Source organism: Homo sapiens, chromosome 6 (assembly GCF_000001405.40).
Source record: "Homo sapiens chromosome 6, GRCh38.p14 Primary Assembly".
Lineage (NCBI taxonomy): Eukaryota > Metazoa > Chordata > Mammalia > Primates > Hominidae > Homo > Homo sapiens.
Genome location: NC_000006.12, coordinates 137740702 through 137758527, shown reverse-complemented (window position 1 = coordinate 137758527; position 17826 = coordinate 137740702). Strand labels below are relative to the sequence as shown.

General features: G+C 40.5%; 2 annotated features.

The window, feature by feature from the left end:
• Positions 13427-13486: a silencer, noted in NCBI's record as "silent region_17588". NCBI's record gives its function as "represses an Ori minimal core promoter by ATAC-STARR-seq in GM12878 lymphoblastoid cells {active_cell/tissue: GM12878}" and the evidence as "EXISTENCE:reporter gene assay evidence [ECO:0000049][PMID:35858748]".
• Positions 17454-17503: a silencer, noted in NCBI's record as "silent region_17587". NCBI's record gives its function as "represses an Ori minimal core promoter by ATAC-STARR-seq in GM12878 lymphoblastoid cells {active_cell/tissue: GM12878}" and the evidence as "EXISTENCE:reporter gene assay evidence [ECO:0000049][PMID:35858748]".

The window sequence follows — 17826 nt, the reverse complement described above, 5'->3', positions numbered from 1 at the left end:
TTAAGAAATCCAGTCACATTTTTAATGGACTTCTTTGTTTTAGGCTGATCTGCCTTACCCTAAAAGAAGCTCATATAGAAAGTACCACTGGTGCCTGAAAAACCTGGAAAAAGGAAAGATAAAAGCCACCAAGAACAGATAGTGTAATATAAAACACTGTCCTCACCCCATTCACCTGCTCAATTATATTGTCTTGTGAATATTTCACTGTGTTAATTTTGCCTCTAGTAATAGATTAAAAGCTCCATGATGGCAGGGCTCATGCATCCTGCATCTCTCCTCAATCCCCCAAAACTCAGCAAGTGTCCTTTCCACAGTTTATTCAGTGTCACATTTTTTTTGCATTTTTTTTCCTGTGGATGATTTCACTATTTAAAATGGACCCTGAGCATAGTGCTGAAGTACTGCCTAGTGATCCTAAGCTCAAAAAGGCTGTGATGTGCCTAACAGAAAATATCTGTGTTAGAGAAGCTTAGTTCAGGCATGAGTTATAGTATAGTTTGCCATGAGTTCAATATTAATGAGTGAAAAATATATATTAAATAAGGTGACTTTAAATAGAAACACACATGAAACAAGATTTTTTATATATATATATGTTCATTGACAGAAATGTTGTGACCAGAGGCTCGCAAGAACCTAACCCTGTATTTCTCCTGGGAGCAATGGCTCAGTATTTGCTAATGTAGTGTTCATAGAGACTGTATAGAATGTGACTACTGCAGATAATAAGGATCAGCTGTATGTGTTTGCAGAACCATGTGAAAGTAAGTTACAGTCTTTGTAACAACTCACCCCTACATCTTCAGCTATCTCTGTTATCAATGTTAATTTTCAGTGATGTTTATTTTTACTGATGGGCACAATATAATAAACTAGGCAGAGAATTACATTTAGATTTAGACACAACTGTGAATAAACCCATGTTCTACCTCTGAGCAAATAATAATCTAGTTGATCTTTAGTTTTCTTACCTCTAAAACAAAAAAAAACACCTGAATTTGTTTTGGTGGTTAAAATGAGATCATGCATAAGCCTGGCCTACAGGAGATATTTAATGAATAGTAAATATCACCGTAATTGACACTCAACAATAGTCGATTTCTCAAGATAGGTCTAATTGGGTATTAAGAGTAGAAGCAGGTAATCTCTCTAGTCATTTCTCCATGCTCATTTCAATGGAAGCTTCGGTATGTGGCATTTGGACTTCTCACCTGATACCACATCTCTGAGATCTTCAGAACAGGTTAGCCTGAGCACCCTACCAGAGCAGAATAGAGGAATCCAACCAAAATCAGTTTATTATAATTAATGCAGGCCATCTTGGACATCACTAGAATATTAAGAAAAATACTGCTCTGAGGGCACCTTTCTCCCTTTTTTCCACCCCAAAGGAAGGATTTTAACTATACCCATCAGAAGCTATGAATCAGTGACACAGAATTTTATCTAGCATCAATGATTGTGTTTTATAAGAATTTTGTTTTAGCTGGGTGTGGTGGTGCATGCCTATAGTTCCAGCTATCTGGGAGGCTGAGTCAAGAGGATCGCTTGAGCCCAGGAGGTTGAGGTTGCAGTGAGGTACGATGGAGCCACGGCACTCCAGCCTGTGTGACAGAGCAAGACTTAGTCAAAAAAAAAAAAAAAAAAAAAAAAAAACCCAACAAAGAAACAAAGAAGGAATTTTGTTGATATAAAAACTATGTTTCTGATACTGCAACTGAATCATTTCTTGCTTCTATCAGATTTTGATGCCCACAGAGAAATTAAGTTTTTTTTGTTTTTTCTTTAACTGAATCAACTTTTGTGTGTTGATAGAGGTAACTTAAGAGTTATTTAAATAAAAGTTTTTGAGAATACTTAATTCCATAAAAAATAGTGAATATCACTTTCTAATAGTGTCAAGCTTTTTCTTTTCGATTTGGTAAAACTGAATTGGATATTTTGTATAATGTAAGTTTACATTACACTTTATATAAATACAATTTTCTTTTTTTTTTTCTTTTCTTTTTTTTTTTCGTTTTGGAGACAGAGTCTTGCTCTGTCGCCAGGCTGGAGTACAGTGGTGCAATCTCAGCTCACTGCAACCTCTGCCTCCCGGGTTCAAGCGATTCGCCCGCCTCAGTCTCCTGAGTAGCTGGGACTACAAGCGCACACCACCACGCCTGGCTAATTTTTTGTATTTTAGTAAAGACGGGGTTTCACCTTGTTGGTCAAGATGGTCTCGATCTCCTGACTTCATGATCTGCCCACCTCAGTTTCCCAAAGTTCTGGGATTGAAGGCATTATCTCCCAGGTGTGGTCCTGATTTCCAGTCTGTATGTCTAACTGTCTACTTGGAATGTCCACTTAGATGTCTGACCATCTTTACCCCATCAATCCCAAACCATCTCTCCACTGCTCTTCCTTATCTTAGCAAATGACATTGCCTTACCTATCAGCCTATGGCTCAGGTCTAACATCTGGGAATCATCTCTGATCTCTTTCTTCCCTCATATCTAATTCTTTGGGAAGTCCTGTCCTCTCTGCCTCCAAAATATATCCCCAATCCAACCACATCTCACCTGCTCCATCGCTGAGGATCACCTGAGCAACCTTTCACCTGAATGACTCCCACAGTGTCCTACCTGGTCTGCCTGCTTCCAGCCTTTCTCCACCCGTGAGAACTCACCTTCATTCTTCATACAGCACACAGAATAGTCTTTCTGAAAATTACATTTCATCATATGACTCTCCTGCTTAAAACCCTCCCATCATTTCCCATTGTAATTAAAATAAAATCTAAGCTCAATTTGGGCCTTCAAGGGCTTACTTGAATTGACTCCACCAATACCTAGGACCTAGCCTATACCCTCCTCTGCCACTCATAACATGCCACTTATAACACTTCTTTCGTGTCCCTCATTGGCTTTTCTTTGTCTCTGGAAACGTTAAATTTGTTCTGGTCCCAAGGCCTTTGCTGTTTGCCACTCCCTCTGGCTGGAGTCCTTGTTCACAAGATCTTAACCCACTCTGACTTCCTTTCCATCAATCAGCACTCAGACAAAATGTCATCTCCTAAGAGAGGCCTTCTGAGGAGGCAGTTGGAGAAGTCCAACTGCTTAGCTAGAGGAGCTAGCCCTTGCCCCAAGATACTCTCTACCTTATTACTATTGTATTTTTTCAATAGAATATCACTTTCAGATCTCTCTCCTCTCCCTCCTTTCCTTCTTTCCTCCTCCCACCCTTTCTTCTTTCTCTGCTTACTTGCTGGCTATTTGCTCCCATCACAGCATAAACCTCATTAAAACAAAGATTTCTTTCATTCATTAGTCTAATTTTGGCACCTAGAATACTGCCTGAATTATTATAGGGGCTTGATTAATAAATACTATTTATTGAGTGCCTCCTGTGTGGCAGGCACTGTAGTAGATTCATTAGATGCCTATGGCTATTTCTCACTACAAACTTTCTAAGCTTTGGGTATGAATAAGTTGAAGCACAGAGAGGTCATGAGACATAGCTAGTGAATAGGAAGCTGAGTTGAATTCAGAAGGTTTGCCTGATTTTAAAATCCATGCTTTTTTCTGTGATTCAACCTGCTTCAATTTGCTTGATTTTCAGGCTCCACATGTGTGGTTAAGCATCCTTGTGTTTGTCTTTCACATTTGACTTTTGCCAAGTGATGGCTTTCATACAGCTACTGGTATCAGGTGTCTTCTGCTATCAACATAAACCTATTTTATAATCTTTAAGATTATTTTGCTTTATAACTACAGCATTTTAATTGAATACAATAAAATTGATATTAATTAGTGCTATTGAAATGAATTTTCTCTGAGATGTTAGTACATATAGACAGACAAGAGTATTTAGTAGTTTCAACTTCCTCAGTCAATTTCTTTGTGACTTACTCTGTGACAGTAATTATACCCGCTGGTATATTTCCTTCCTCTTTTCTCCAAATAGTTTTTCGTTTTCTATTTCAATTTATATAGAATATCAACTTATAGACCTCAGATCCTTTTTGAAAGTGGGTGTGGGTAATGTGGGGGGGTGGTTGGAAGTATAAGCCAGAAATGAATTTTGTATTTGGAACTGCTGTAGCCATGAGTGATAACCTCCTGAACATCTTAAAGACAATCATGGGAGTGAGGGGAGAGCTTGTGGTGAATCGGGAGAAGATGGGGAGAACATGGGGTTGACTGGATTGAGGGCAGGTATTCCTGACTAGGGCCTCACGTACTAGCTGTATTTTTATATCTCTACTTGATGGGGCAAATCTGAATACTGGTGAGAATTACCCTGGAGCAGTGGGGAATAGTGTAGACTCCACCAACAGACCTCCTCCCTCCCCATACCTTGATCTCAGACACCCACAAACTCCCCAGCATCTTCCTAACCTCCCCATCCCTGCATGGGGTGTGTGGATGATGCCCAGAAGCCCAGGCTCCGGGCTGTCTGATGGTGCCTGAATTAGCTGTTGTATCTCTTATGGGAGAGGTCACCTGAGAATTCAGAAGAGAGGGACCATGGAAGAACTAAGACTTACCTATCAAGGTGTGGAATGAAACTAAGATGGCATACCAAGGGCTGCCCAGGAGCCCCCTCCTCCAGCTTCCTTATCCTACAGCTGACCCAGTCCCTTCTCCTTTCTTCATCCTTTTTTATCCTCAGCTTCTTGGCACCAGCTCACACATTCCTTTCCTTGGTCGCCCTGAGGATCCTGTGCACTTCCTGTGCCCTCTCCACCCTGTTCACCCCTCAGCCTGTCCTGCCTCTTCCAGGTTTCCTGTGGCTCTGGGGCCTGGCATCTCTGGCCCTGCCTCATGCCAGCAGTGTGGGAAAGGGGATCAATTGGCTTATCTGCACTCTCTCACGGGAAGTCCGCTCTTCTATTTAAGCCACACCACTCCACTCTTCTATTTAAGCCACACCACTCCTATCCCCTCCATTAGACTTGAAGAAAATCAGAAAGTAGTTCTCTACCATCAACAACACCCCCTTCTCCCACCAAATGCTTGAGGATTGCTAATGTGACTCTTTAGTGTTTGTAGCCCAAGCAATTTAATTTCATGCATAAGGTACTTGCAATGGCTACCATGCAAAACAAAACAGAAGTATGAGCAGTTCCCTGCCTCTTCTTTATGGTTTCAAAGAAATCTCAACCCCTTAAAATTTACCTATACTTGATTGATTCTCAATCTATAAGAATAGAAAGTCTGCACTATCCAAAACTTCCAAACAATTAAATTACGCTCAGAAAAGTTTTTCTTTTTTTCCCACAGGCAGTTAAATAAACACTCAACAAAAACATTTAACTACTTTTGTCCATATCTGTTAAAGGTAAAGGTCAATATGTATTAATCTGCTATGTGGAAATTTTACATGAACAATTTTAGTCTCTATGTAGTAATTTTAAATTTTACAATGTTTATTTAGTTCCAAAAGGGGAAAACTAAACCAAGTTGCTAAAAGGCTAACCAAAAAAAAGGTAAAAATTACCATGATTAAGTTTTCAAGTATCTAGATATATCAGGTGACAGGTTTTTAGGGATTAAATTTTATGCAAGTAAGGACACTTTGATATTTCACATATCTTGACTATTCTTATGGTATAACAGTACCATCAATATTCTGTGAATGAAGGCAATTTATTAATTATATAAAACAGGGCTATATTCTGTCAGTACAACTTCTTTATTGTACCAAAACACAATTTCTCTCAGCAAATCTAGAGCACATTCTGGCATGTCAGCCTGCTTTTCTTCATACCCTTACGTGACGTGCATTTCCTTAGACAGTGAATATTCCTTGAAAACGTGATTTGTGATGATGGCAGATTACGTGATCAAATGCTGTTTCATGATTTTCTTGATGACATCCCATCAGATTTTGGTTGTTTCTTATTTTCCCACATTAAAAAAAAATGGAGCATTAACATTATTTGAGCTCAAAATCTATTTTCTCCTGGCCTGAAAGTGCAAGGATTGGTATCAAGTTGAGACGGAGTTGAAATGCTAGTGTTGGACACTTGAGTCCTGTCGTGTTTGTCATGTGGAAGGCATGGGGAGTTTTTAGGTTTCAGGTTTCCTGTCAGCCTTGGCTGCTGTTTCTTCCCCTCCTGGCCTGAAGCTGGGCCACCTGACCACAACTGGGCCAGGAAAGGTGGAAACCCAGCTAGTCTCGCAGTGGCCAGGACCATGCTGGAGATGAGGTTCGGCATGCCTCCTGGGCTGTTCTTCGCTCTTGGCCTCCTTTTCCTTTTGGATTACTGGCCTCTCACTTCCTTAGATCAGTCCCCATTGGATATTACACTTTTTGATGGCTTGGTTTCTTTTGGTTACAGTTTTCAAATTTCACTTCCGGTAGCTACACAGATGACCCAGGCTAATTTCAGTACTAAAGTCCATGTTGGGCTTTCACATTCCATGCCCAGAAACTGACCATGACCCCGCAGCTGGATCCTACTCTCTGCTGAAGAGACCCCCTGCCAACATCCACAGGTTGTCCCCTGCCTGCACAGACCTGGAGGATCACTTCCTCACAGACTTTCCATCACTGCCGTCAATTCCTGTTTGCTAGGCTCAATATTTTTGGCCTTTCCTCTTCAAATATTGTCCTTAGTCTGAAAAATGATCTCTTCAGTGCCTGCAACTGTATCTGTTCTTTAAATACCTGCCCCATGCCAGTAATGGTCAGGACTGGCTCCTGGTAATAATCCCTTCTGCTGCTGCTTATTCTTTACTCTGTTGGCAAATGATCTCTTCTCTCTGTGTCCCAGCTGCTGGGTCTTTAACATGGAGATAATAATAGTCTTCTATGAGGAGAGAGTAGTAAGGATGCCATGAATTAACTTGTATAGACAGCTTAGATCATTGTCTGGCACATACATATTTAATACAATTTAGCTTTATTTTCACGAGAAGATTTCTCTCTAAGCACTACTATCACTGGTGAATTCAAGCTAATTTTGCCTTGGAGTCCCACCACTGTAGGGATGGACAAAGACAGGCAAGGCGGAACGCATCTGCACTGTTTTCTCTCACTGGGATACATTAGTTTGCTTCACTATCATAACCATCTTACTATCTCTATGTATCCCATAAGATCATGTTGTAAACCTTGAATATACACAATAAACTCCTGGCTGAGACAGGAGAATTATTTAATTATTTAAGGCCAGGAGTTTGAGACCAGTCAGGGCAACATAGTGAGACCCCCATCACTGCAAAAATAAAAAACAAAAGAAAGGTATTTCAGCCTTCCTGCCAAATTCTGAGCTAGCATTGGATTGTTTCCCTTTCAACTAATGTGAAGCAAGGGAATAGAACGAAGAATTTCCCTCTGAATTGTACACAAGGAGACTCTAATGAATATTCGTGAAAAGGGACACCATACGTGCAAAGGGCTTGCTTTGAGCTATATCTCCCTCTGCCTCACATTTAGGCTTAATGGAAGATAGAAGTAGGCTGGGAAAAGCACATGGAAATTCAGTACCATTATGTAACTCCCAAGAGGTGGGAGCAAAAGGTGTGCTGAGACTCCTTCACAGGTGTGCTTCCAAATTGTAATCAATTTTCCAAATTTATTGGTGGCAAAATCCATTTATTTATTTATTTATTTAATTCCATTTTTTAAAGACAGTATCTCACTCTCTCGCCCAGGCTGGAGTACAGTGGCACAATCCCAGCTCACTGCACCCTCAAAGTCCTGGGCTCAAGGGATCCTCCACAGAAACCTCCTGAATAACTGGGATTAAAGGTGTGTGTGCACCACCACGCCCGGCTAAAACTATTTTTGTAATGTTTATTACTGAGAACACTGAAATAAACTCATTAAATGATGGTTAATTGGTGGAGCAGGTTAACTGGCTGTAAGAGATAAGGATCATCGTTGGATATTAAAATGATACATTCAAAAGTTTTAAATGCTGTTCACTGGAATATGCAAAAACCGTGACTTGTGACTCTATCAGAGGCCACAGTCGGGGCAGTACACAGTTATCCTCACAAACAGTGACTCTATGTTGAAGGCTGACAAAAGGAATGAGATAGGAACAGTTTTAATGGGCACACAGAGACACTGTTAGGCAGTGTTGGTGGTTGCGTGGTAATCACTTCTGATGTGTATGGTTTTGTTTAGAGCCTATTAATTCTTTCAAATATGTGCCTAAAATTCTTGTGCTAAATTTAACATCAACCAGAAAGGGCTACCACTGCGATATTCTGAAAATGGGCAGGAAGGAGAGATGTTTCCAGTGCATCCTCAGCACAATTGGAAGCCACACAACGGAGATGACAAGAGTTGGAAATGACAAAGAAACCTGTCAAGTGGAAAAGCTTTTAATTCTGATCTACCCATTGTGCCAGATCTGTGGCACCACCAGAAATAGCAGCGGGTCCTGGAAGCAATGGTCACTGCCTGAATATATAATGGAAACGGGAGGAAACAGGGAGGTGGAGGCGGTTATGCCTCATTCCTTTCAGCTACCCTTACGTCTACAGGAAGTAACAGCCAGGACTGTCATCTTTTAGGACAAAGGAGAATGATGTAAGAAAAGTCTGAAATACGAAGATCTCAAAAAATCCTCCCTAAGTCATGGAGACAGCCTGCATGACACCTCATCTGATTTATTTTTTGAACCTCAACAGCTCATCATGCAATTTCCTTGCTTGTGTATCTCCTTTTTTTCCCGGGAACGAGACACACTTTCTTTTTCCGCCATCAGGATCCAAATATCAGCTTGATGACATTAGAGTTCTTCCCTCAAGGGACACAACAGTGGTTATTTTAGGACCTTTTTTTTTTTGACATGGCTCAACAACAAAATTTTGGAATGGTTCTTAATCCTACTTAAACGCAGAGAAAGGGAGGACTTTGAGGGGAGATATTTTTTGTTTGGTTTGCTTTTTTCCTTTTTTACACAAACCAAATACAGTAAGGCAGGCTAAACAATTAACTTAAATGTCCCTTTGAGATCATGTTCCTTCTGATAATATAAAGCAGCCTGATTCATTTACTTTCACCTTGATGCTTATGTTTGCACAAGTAATAAAATGAAGTTATTGGTGTTCTTTAGCTATTCTTATCCGTAATTGCAACAACCACTATTTTTAAACTTACATTTTCCCGTAAGTTTTGGAACACTTTTTAACCAAATACCAAGTAAAATTATAGTAAGTTGGAAGTTTTGAAGCTTGCTTATAAATAACATTAAGTTTTAAAGAGTTGCTTTTACTTTATTGTATATATTTTCAGTGTACAATTAAAGTACTTATCTTTGATAAATACAGTATTCAAGACAGTAGCATGTAATGTATTTTTGACATTTGAATCCTTGCAGAGTAATTTTCTGCATTACTTTTGCTCCTTTGAGAATTGAATACAGGCAGCCTTTGCTTTGCACAGTGCTGTGTTAACTGAAACTCATTTGTATCAGAAGTGTGCAAAGCAAGGGCTGCTGTATGCTTTTCTGTTTGTATTAACTTATCAGGATTCAAACATCACTTTTGGGAGACTGGAATAACTTTGTCTTCTGATTGCATTGGCACTTTCCTCTACAATTGAGAAGCTATTTGGGTTGTCTTTATCAGACTTACATTGCCTCTGTGAATATCAGCCTTGATCTACTCCAAGTGCAGGACAAACACAAAGAACTCTCTGCACAGTTCATTACTCCATTAGGTGGTTCAGATGCAATTCCAGCCCTTAGTCAGGTTCTTTCCAGTGTCCTCAAACACAGTAAGGAGAGTGCTCTAAGTGACTCTTTGTGTCTCACACAATCTCTTGGGTTCCCAGGTCACTGGTGTAGTAGCCAGCTGCATCCAAGAAGCCAGGTGAGCCTGTGCCACCAATCACAGATACTCCTTACCAACCATCTGCCAACCCATGCCAGCCCTGCTGCCCATGGATGTGCGGCTGTCCATGTGCCACGCCCACCCCCACCCCCCAGTCCTCATGTCCCTGTCTCCTTGTAGTCTATTCATCTGTGCTGAGAAAAATGGGTGATACTATTAGTATGTACCTCATAGGGTTATTGTAAGGATGGAATTAAATGCCCACAATGCAATGGTATTTTCCAGGAACATAGTAAATTTTCAATACATGTTAGCAATTATCATTGCTGTTTTGCATGACCACAGGAAGTAATTTGTGGGGCTTGTAGCCACAGTCTCATAAAGCCTTAATTTTTACTTTTCAAGAGCAATTTAAAGCTTTCATTCTAATCTGATCTGGGCTACTGTATTAGTTTCCTACTGGTACAGTAAAACGTACCTTAAACATAGTAGATTGAAATAGCACACATTTATTATCTTACAGTTCTGGAGGTCAGAAGTCCTGAAATCAAGGTAGTAGACAGGGCTACTTTCCATTTGGAGGTTCTGGGGAAGACTCCACCTCCTTACATGTTCTAGCTTCTAGAGGCTGCAGCAGTCCTTGGTTCCTGGCTCCTTTCTCCATCTTCAAAGCCAGCAGTGTAGTGTCTTCAAATCTTTTTCTCTCTCTTTGGCCTCAGCTTTTGTCATGACATTTCCCTCTGTGACTTTGATACTCCTGCTTCCCTCTTCTAAGAAAACTTGCAATGCTATTGGGTCTACTTACATCATCCAGGATCATCTCCCCATCTCTTCATAACAAGATCATGGGTTTTAGGGATTAGGATGTGGACATAATTGGGGGTCCTTTATTCCGTCTGCCACCGCCAATTTTAAAATTTAATTTTATTTCTCATCTTCAGTAAAATCTAAAGACTGGGTAACACTGATATTTTGAAGTTAGGTGACTCAGAATCATCAATTAATTATTCCCAGGAATTATTTATATAATATCATGTGTCAGAAATGTCCACAAAAAAACTCTGACAGACATTATGAGTTGGCTGATTCAGCAACTAATTTTAACCTTCTTCTCCATTTCCTCTACTTAAAAGTCCATCCTTCCTTGGAGTGGCTAATTGACAGCTCTTACCAATGAGATGGAAGTAAAAATCTGTTGGAGAGTTTTTGAAAACTTTGCTTTCATCATTTTTTTTTTTTTTTTTGAGATGGAGTCTTGCTCTGTCGCCCAGGCTGGAGTGCAGTGGCATGATCTCCACTCATTGCAAGCTCCGCCTCCCAGGTTCACACCATTCTCCTGCGTCAGCCTCCTGAGTAGCTGGGACTACAGGCGCCCGCCACCACGCCTGGCTAATTTTTTCTTGTATTTTTAGTACAGACGGGGTTTCACCGTGTTAGCCAGGGTGGTCTCGATCTCCTGACCTCATGATCCACTCACCTCGGCCTCCCGAAGTGCTGGGATTACAGGCGTGAGCCACCGTGCCCGGCCTTGCTTTCATCATTAAAGAAGACATACATCTTCCCTTTTGTGGACACAAGCCTGATCATTGGAGCTTCAGCAGCTATCTGGTAATAATGAGAGAAAGGCCAAGCCCAGGGAATTACAGAGACATTGGCCCTGCCATTACTGAGTAACTGAACCAACTCCAGCAACTACCCAAGAAACTTCCTGTTGTGAGAGAATAAGCAAACTTATATCTATTCTAACTCTTGTATTTAGCTTCTCTGTTACTTGCAGCTGAATAAATATAGCATTTAAAAAAATTACCTTACGTAATTATAAGTGCTTCATCCCAAAGAGACGACGTGTAGGTCTGACAATAGCGGGAATAAATACTGATAATATTTTAATAGATAATGACTTGATTCTATTATTTAATACTTTTTAGACTAATAGATAATTTTTAGATATTAATGGAAAAACCTCTACTTGAGTCAAAGCAGTAACTTCAAAGAACCAGAAATAAATTGTTGGCTAATGCAGGCTGGTCTAGGAAACGTTGCCAAGTATTTAAAAAGGAAAAAATCTCCCCTTTTTATGTTTAACCCAACCCCTACTTGTCCTTAAAAACCTTATTTCTATAATAAAATATATTTTTCTGCCTTTGTTTACACTAGACTTGGTTTACTTATTCTCTCATCATTGTTTTTCCTTGGGTCATTGACTTTTGTTCCTTTCAGTTTTGAAATGTCAAGGTTCTGTATCACTGCAGAAACAAAAACCTTTGTTTTTAAAGTATAAAATGCTTCCCTGAGAGGGGCTTTCCAAAAGAATTGAATGGTGCAGTCAGCGGCGCAAATTATAGGGAAACCCCTTAACTTCTACTGTTCCCCCAAACAGCAGCCAGCTTCCAGAAAGCATTGACTGCAGACTCAATAGAGGAATATGCACACCTTCTGACTTCTAAAAACATTTACAATAAGTCAGAAGGCTGAGTAGTTAACAGCATACATGTAGAATTATGAAGAATTTGAGATGCTTAAGTGAGAACCAGGAAAAGAAAAGAGAACGTAAGAGAGAGAGAGGTCCAGTTGTCAGCCAATCTTGACAAAAGCTTTGATCATCAGAGAAAGTCTATAATCCTGTCTAAAACATGTTCATTAAATTACAAAAACTATTCCCAATGTAATTCCTGTAATACTAGGAAACACATGAAAAATTTTGTAATTTCATGTATTTCAGCCCCATTTATTATATGAGCACATAAGAGATATTCATATATATATTTAATATTTTAAAGATATATATGAATTCTACAAAGCACTATCCAGATTTACAAAGATTTTGCAAAGCACTATCAATGTAAACAGTGTTTTAAGGATGAAAAAGCAAACCACATTAAATGGATACATCAATTCTCACAGAGCTGAATTTTAGAAAGATTAGAACTGTGAGAGGTGAGAATTTTAGTCTAGAGGGAAAATGGTTGTTCTTATTGTTCTACCAGAGAGATCGAAGCTCAGATTTCTCATTTCAAATGTGAGAAATGTGAGCTATAGTGGAGGTGGGGGGCTGTAGTTGGGGAGAAGTTGCTGGGAAAAAATGCCAAGAGAATTGTGAGAAAAGAAAGATCACAACTTGGCTAAGATTTATACCAGATTGAGGACTTGAGTATCTTTAGCAAATTGTAAGTATTTCATGAATAGTTTTACTCATCCCAGTTTATTTGAAGATGAACGGGACCTGCCTTTAGCAATATTGTGAAATAGGTGAAGAGTCATTATAGCTTATGGAAAAGCTCCCAGGAACATCAGGAGCATGAGTTTAGGTTCTAACTTTGCAATGAATATGTGATATGACAGGGGCACATTCTCTAAACTTGCAATATGCTCTTTTCCAAAATTAGCATTGAAGGAGGGTTGATCTCCCATGACATATCTGAGCAGTTGGGAGCACAGAGTTGTATTTCTTTGGAATTATCCAGTGAGTTGGGAGCAGGGCTAGGCTGGGGGTACTTTTCCCATTTTAGCAGAGTGGCCTCAGGGCCTTGGCTGGCACAATGCAACCTCGGGGGCAGAGTGAGAAGCAACACTGGAGGCAGGAGCTGGCACCTGCTACCCACTGACAAGGTTTATACTCCTTAATAACAGCCCTCTATGCAAAGGGGCTGCAAGAGGAGGGAGGGTAAAAACCACCAAGGCCACAAAGACCATGCAGCGGCTGAAAGTGCAGAAGCACCTCCACTTTCAAATCTGCAGGATGACAGATGGTGAAAGTCAAGTGTTCATTTAGCCATTGGCCCTTAGCTTCCTGCCCATTCCTACATTCATGATGACATGGACACACTAATAAGCACTATTAACCCGGTCAAGTCTGGTAAGTGATAGAGCAGTGGGTAAGAAGAGGTTAACGATTACAAAATGACCCAAATGTGAGATAATATAATAAAGTGGGAGAGACAGAGAGAGAGAAAGCCTGCTGGAAATGCAAATGGAATGAACCTTAAAACAGTGAAAAGTATTTTGAAGACTAAAAGTCTATCACACAGCAAATCAAATCGCATCCTGTGCAATGTAATCAACAATAATCACATGCTTTTTACTTACAAATAAATACTCGGGAACAATCTTTTAAAACCTAACCTAATCTTAAAGATAGGAACTTTTTTCCTTATTCTAGAGTGGTGTTTTTCAAAATGCAGGTCACAAATAATCAGTGGGTCATAAAATCAATGAGTGGGTCATGACTAGCATTTTTTCTTTTCTATGGTAGATCAAGTAGAATACAAAATATCTGATCGCAACACACAAAGTAAGTTTTGTGAAACATTTCAGTTGTGTGTGTGTGTGTGTGTGTGTGCACTGGGAGATGAGGCAGAGAATCTTTCTTACTGTGGGTAGCTGTCAATAAAAAGGTAAAAAATGATCCTTGTGAGACATTAGGTGGGACTTCTAGAAATGTGGGGACATATTTTGTGTTATGGATTGAAATGTCTCCCAAAAACGTAGTTAAAATCTTAAGTCCAGTTACCTGTGAATGTGACTTTATTCAGAAACAGTCTTTGAAGACCTAATACAGATAAATATATTCAATAACAATTTAAACGTAATGCAAATTTTGCATTTGCATATGTGCTATTGATTCTGGAAGAAATACTAAGTGAACGCATTAAAAACTGCACTCAGGTGAACCAAACTGTATAGAAAAACTCAAATTATTCACACAAGCACACCTCAAAACATCCACCAGCTAACCTCGGTTCACCCTGTTACGAGCTACACCTATTCATGTCTGTTGGTGTAACTTCCCCACTGATTTCAGAAAACCTTCCTTCCACCACTTTACACTAACTCATAAGCTGCAATCCTTCCCAAGCAAATTTCCGGTCTTTGTCAAGGTAGACTATGAGATTTACTGTAGTATTTATTCATTTTTTAACCATTTAATATGTATGAAACTGTGCCATTCTTTTTATCAGGTTATCTCCTTTCTTTCTTTCTTTTTTTTAATTTTGAGATAAGATCTCTCTCCTTCACCCAGGCTGGAGTGCAGTGACTCAGTCACAGCTCACTGTAGCTTCGACATCCCAGGCTCAGGTGATTCTGCCACCTCAGCCTCCTGAGTAGTTGGGACTCCAGGGGCATGCCACCACACCCGGCTAATTTTCTGCATTTTTTTTTTAATAGATTCAGGATTTCACCATGTTGCCCAGGCTGGTCTTGAACTTCTGAGCTCAAGTGATTTGCCTGCCCCGGCTTCCCAAAGTGCTGGGATTACAGGTGGGAGCCACCATGCCCGGCCAGTTGCTGACATTTTTAAGTGTTGTGCCCCAATCACATTTTTTGCATAAGACCTTTGGTTGTTACCGTGTGTATTTTGCATGGCACAGAGTTTTTTTTTTTTTTTTTTTTTTTTTTACAAACACTATGTTATATGAGAGCAGAACAGACTGGATGAGATCATTCAGTGGGTGAGTGTAGATACAGAAGAGGCCAAGGGTTGCATCCAGGGACACATCAACTATAACAGGCCTAGGAGAAGAGGAGCCAGCAAAGGAGCTGTCTGGTGAGATAGGAGGAAACCCAGGAGACCATGGTGTTCTGGAAGTAAAGTGAAGAAAGTTCAAAGAAGGCTTGAATGCCCACATCTGGCTCTGCAGAGAGACCAAGAAAAAGAAGAGGACTCACTGCGAAGTGACCACTGAATTAGTACTATGGTGGTCTTGAATAATTTTAATAAGTTCGATTTCAGTGGAAGGGCAGGGATAAGCCTAACTGGAGAGAATTTAATAGAAAAAAGAAAAAGAATAATACATTTAAAAAATAATCATGGAATACGTTTGATTTTGATACATGTCTTTTTCAAATAAGCTTTGTCATTAAGTGCATATTTATGTCTTCTTTGGTATCTGATAGATCAGGATCTGTTTATAATTTTTAAAGATTACTATAAAGTTCTGGCCAGGCATGGTGGCTCATGCCTATACTCCCAGCATTTTGGGAGGCCGAGGCAGGAGAATCACTTGAGACCAGGAGTTCAAGACCAGCCTGGGCAACATAGCGAGACACCCCCTCACCCTCTTTTTCTTTTTTTTTTTTTTTGAGACCCAGGCATGAGTGCAGTTGCGCTATCTTGGCTCACTGCAACCTCCACCTCCTGGGTTCAAGCAATTTTCCTGCTTCAGCCTCCCAAGTAGCTGGGATTATAGGTGCGAACCACCACACCCAGCAAATTTTTTTTTTTTTTGTATTTTTAGTAGAGATGGGGTTTCACCATGTTGGCCTGGCTGGTCTCGAACTCCTGACCTCAGGTGATCTGCCTGCCTCGTAATCCCAAAGTGTTGGGATTACAGGCGTGAGCCACTGTGTCCAGCCTTTTTTTTTTTTTTTTGATTACTTTAGAGTTCCTACTATGTGCCTGACATCATCTGTTTAAGAGAGCTGATGCTAGAATTGAGACAGACATTCTTGTGAATTCTGGTTCTGCCACTCACTAGTTGTCTAAAGTAAGGTTTACCCTTTAGGTTCCTAAAATGAGGTTAATATCCTAACTCAGTTTGTTGTTGTCAGGGTTAGGTAAGTGAAGTGCTTAGCATGGTGTCTGACACACAGAATGGGCTCATGAATGTTACTATTAATATTTTTCAGTCTGGGCACAGTGGCTCACATCTGTAATCCCAGCACATAGAGAGGCCAGGTGGATTGCTTGAGCCCAGGAGTTTGAGACCAGTCTGGGCAACATGGTGAAACAACATCTCTCCAAAAAAAAAAAAAAAAGCAAAAAAATAGCCAGGCATGGTGGTGTATACCTGTGGTCCCAGCTTAAATTTGGGAGACAAAACAGAAAATCAATTTAAAAAGTATATAAATGGTTGATGCACAATTAGTGCCCAAACAGGCTGAGACACCTTGGAGTTAAGATGACCAGGCAAAGTGAGATTTAAAATAGAACTTAAGTAAGAAGTCATTCTGAGAAGGGATCTTAACTTTTACTATATACCTGCCACTCTGCATGGGGCCGTAAGTACAGTCATGTGTTTAAGCCTCACACTCAACTATGATGAGGCATTCTTATTCCCAGTTCTTGGGTGAGAAGACAGGCTTTGAGACGCTCATTCACTTGCTCTGGGTCATCAGTTAGTAGGAGAGCTAGAGTCAGCCTGGGCATGCTCATCTCCAAAGTCCATGCTTGGTGGTGGCAGAGCAGTCTAGCAGGGAGGTGCTAAAGGTCAGCTCCACTCTCTGCCATTTGCAGACGATAATAAGAAACAAACAAAACACCCATAGCATGTAAAGCCTCATGTTAGCCTGATAAAGTACATCATCTAGAGAACCATATTAAAGGAAAAAACCCCAAAGAAACAAGCTGCATATTTTTGCTCTTGACTTTTTTTCCTTGGGTAGAGTGAATCTGTGGCAAAAAGCGGTTCAAAGGAAGGTGAGGGAGAAACAAAGGTGGGGAATGATCAACAAGTGCCTAGCAAGAGGTGATTGCACTTACGGGAAAACAGTTCCCGTCCAGTGTGGTTTCTGTTTCCCCACCGGGCTAGCTGATCTGGGATTTCATCTCTCCATGGGTTGCATTGCAGCAGTCCTGGTTCCCGTGTAGTTCCTGCTGGGATATCTAACAGGTGGACAGGCATTTAGATTTCCAGCACGACTCCACCCTGGCTGAGCCCCTCATTCAAGCTAAGAATGTAAGGACAGCAGGTGGCCTGCAGGGTGTGCTCTGAGGAGCTGCCCAAATCACTCTCCATTACCTGGGCATTAAGCGTTCTTAAAGAGCCTCCTTAAGCAGAGTTTAACTGGAAGAGATACATTGTCATTGTTGTTTTCTTAGAGTTCAGTTTTTGGAAGGAAAAGAGGTATATTGTGTTGCTAGTCATCAAGTTAGCTGCTTAAAGCATTAGCAAGGACAGTCTATTCACCCACTGTCACCTGGCAAAGGCTGTGACTCTGAAGGATAAACCCACGACAGATAAGTTTTGATGGACTGAGAGAAAATGAAACATGGGTCTTTGTCAGGCTCCCGTGAGACTTGGAAGGAGGGCCTTGATGGGGAGGTGTA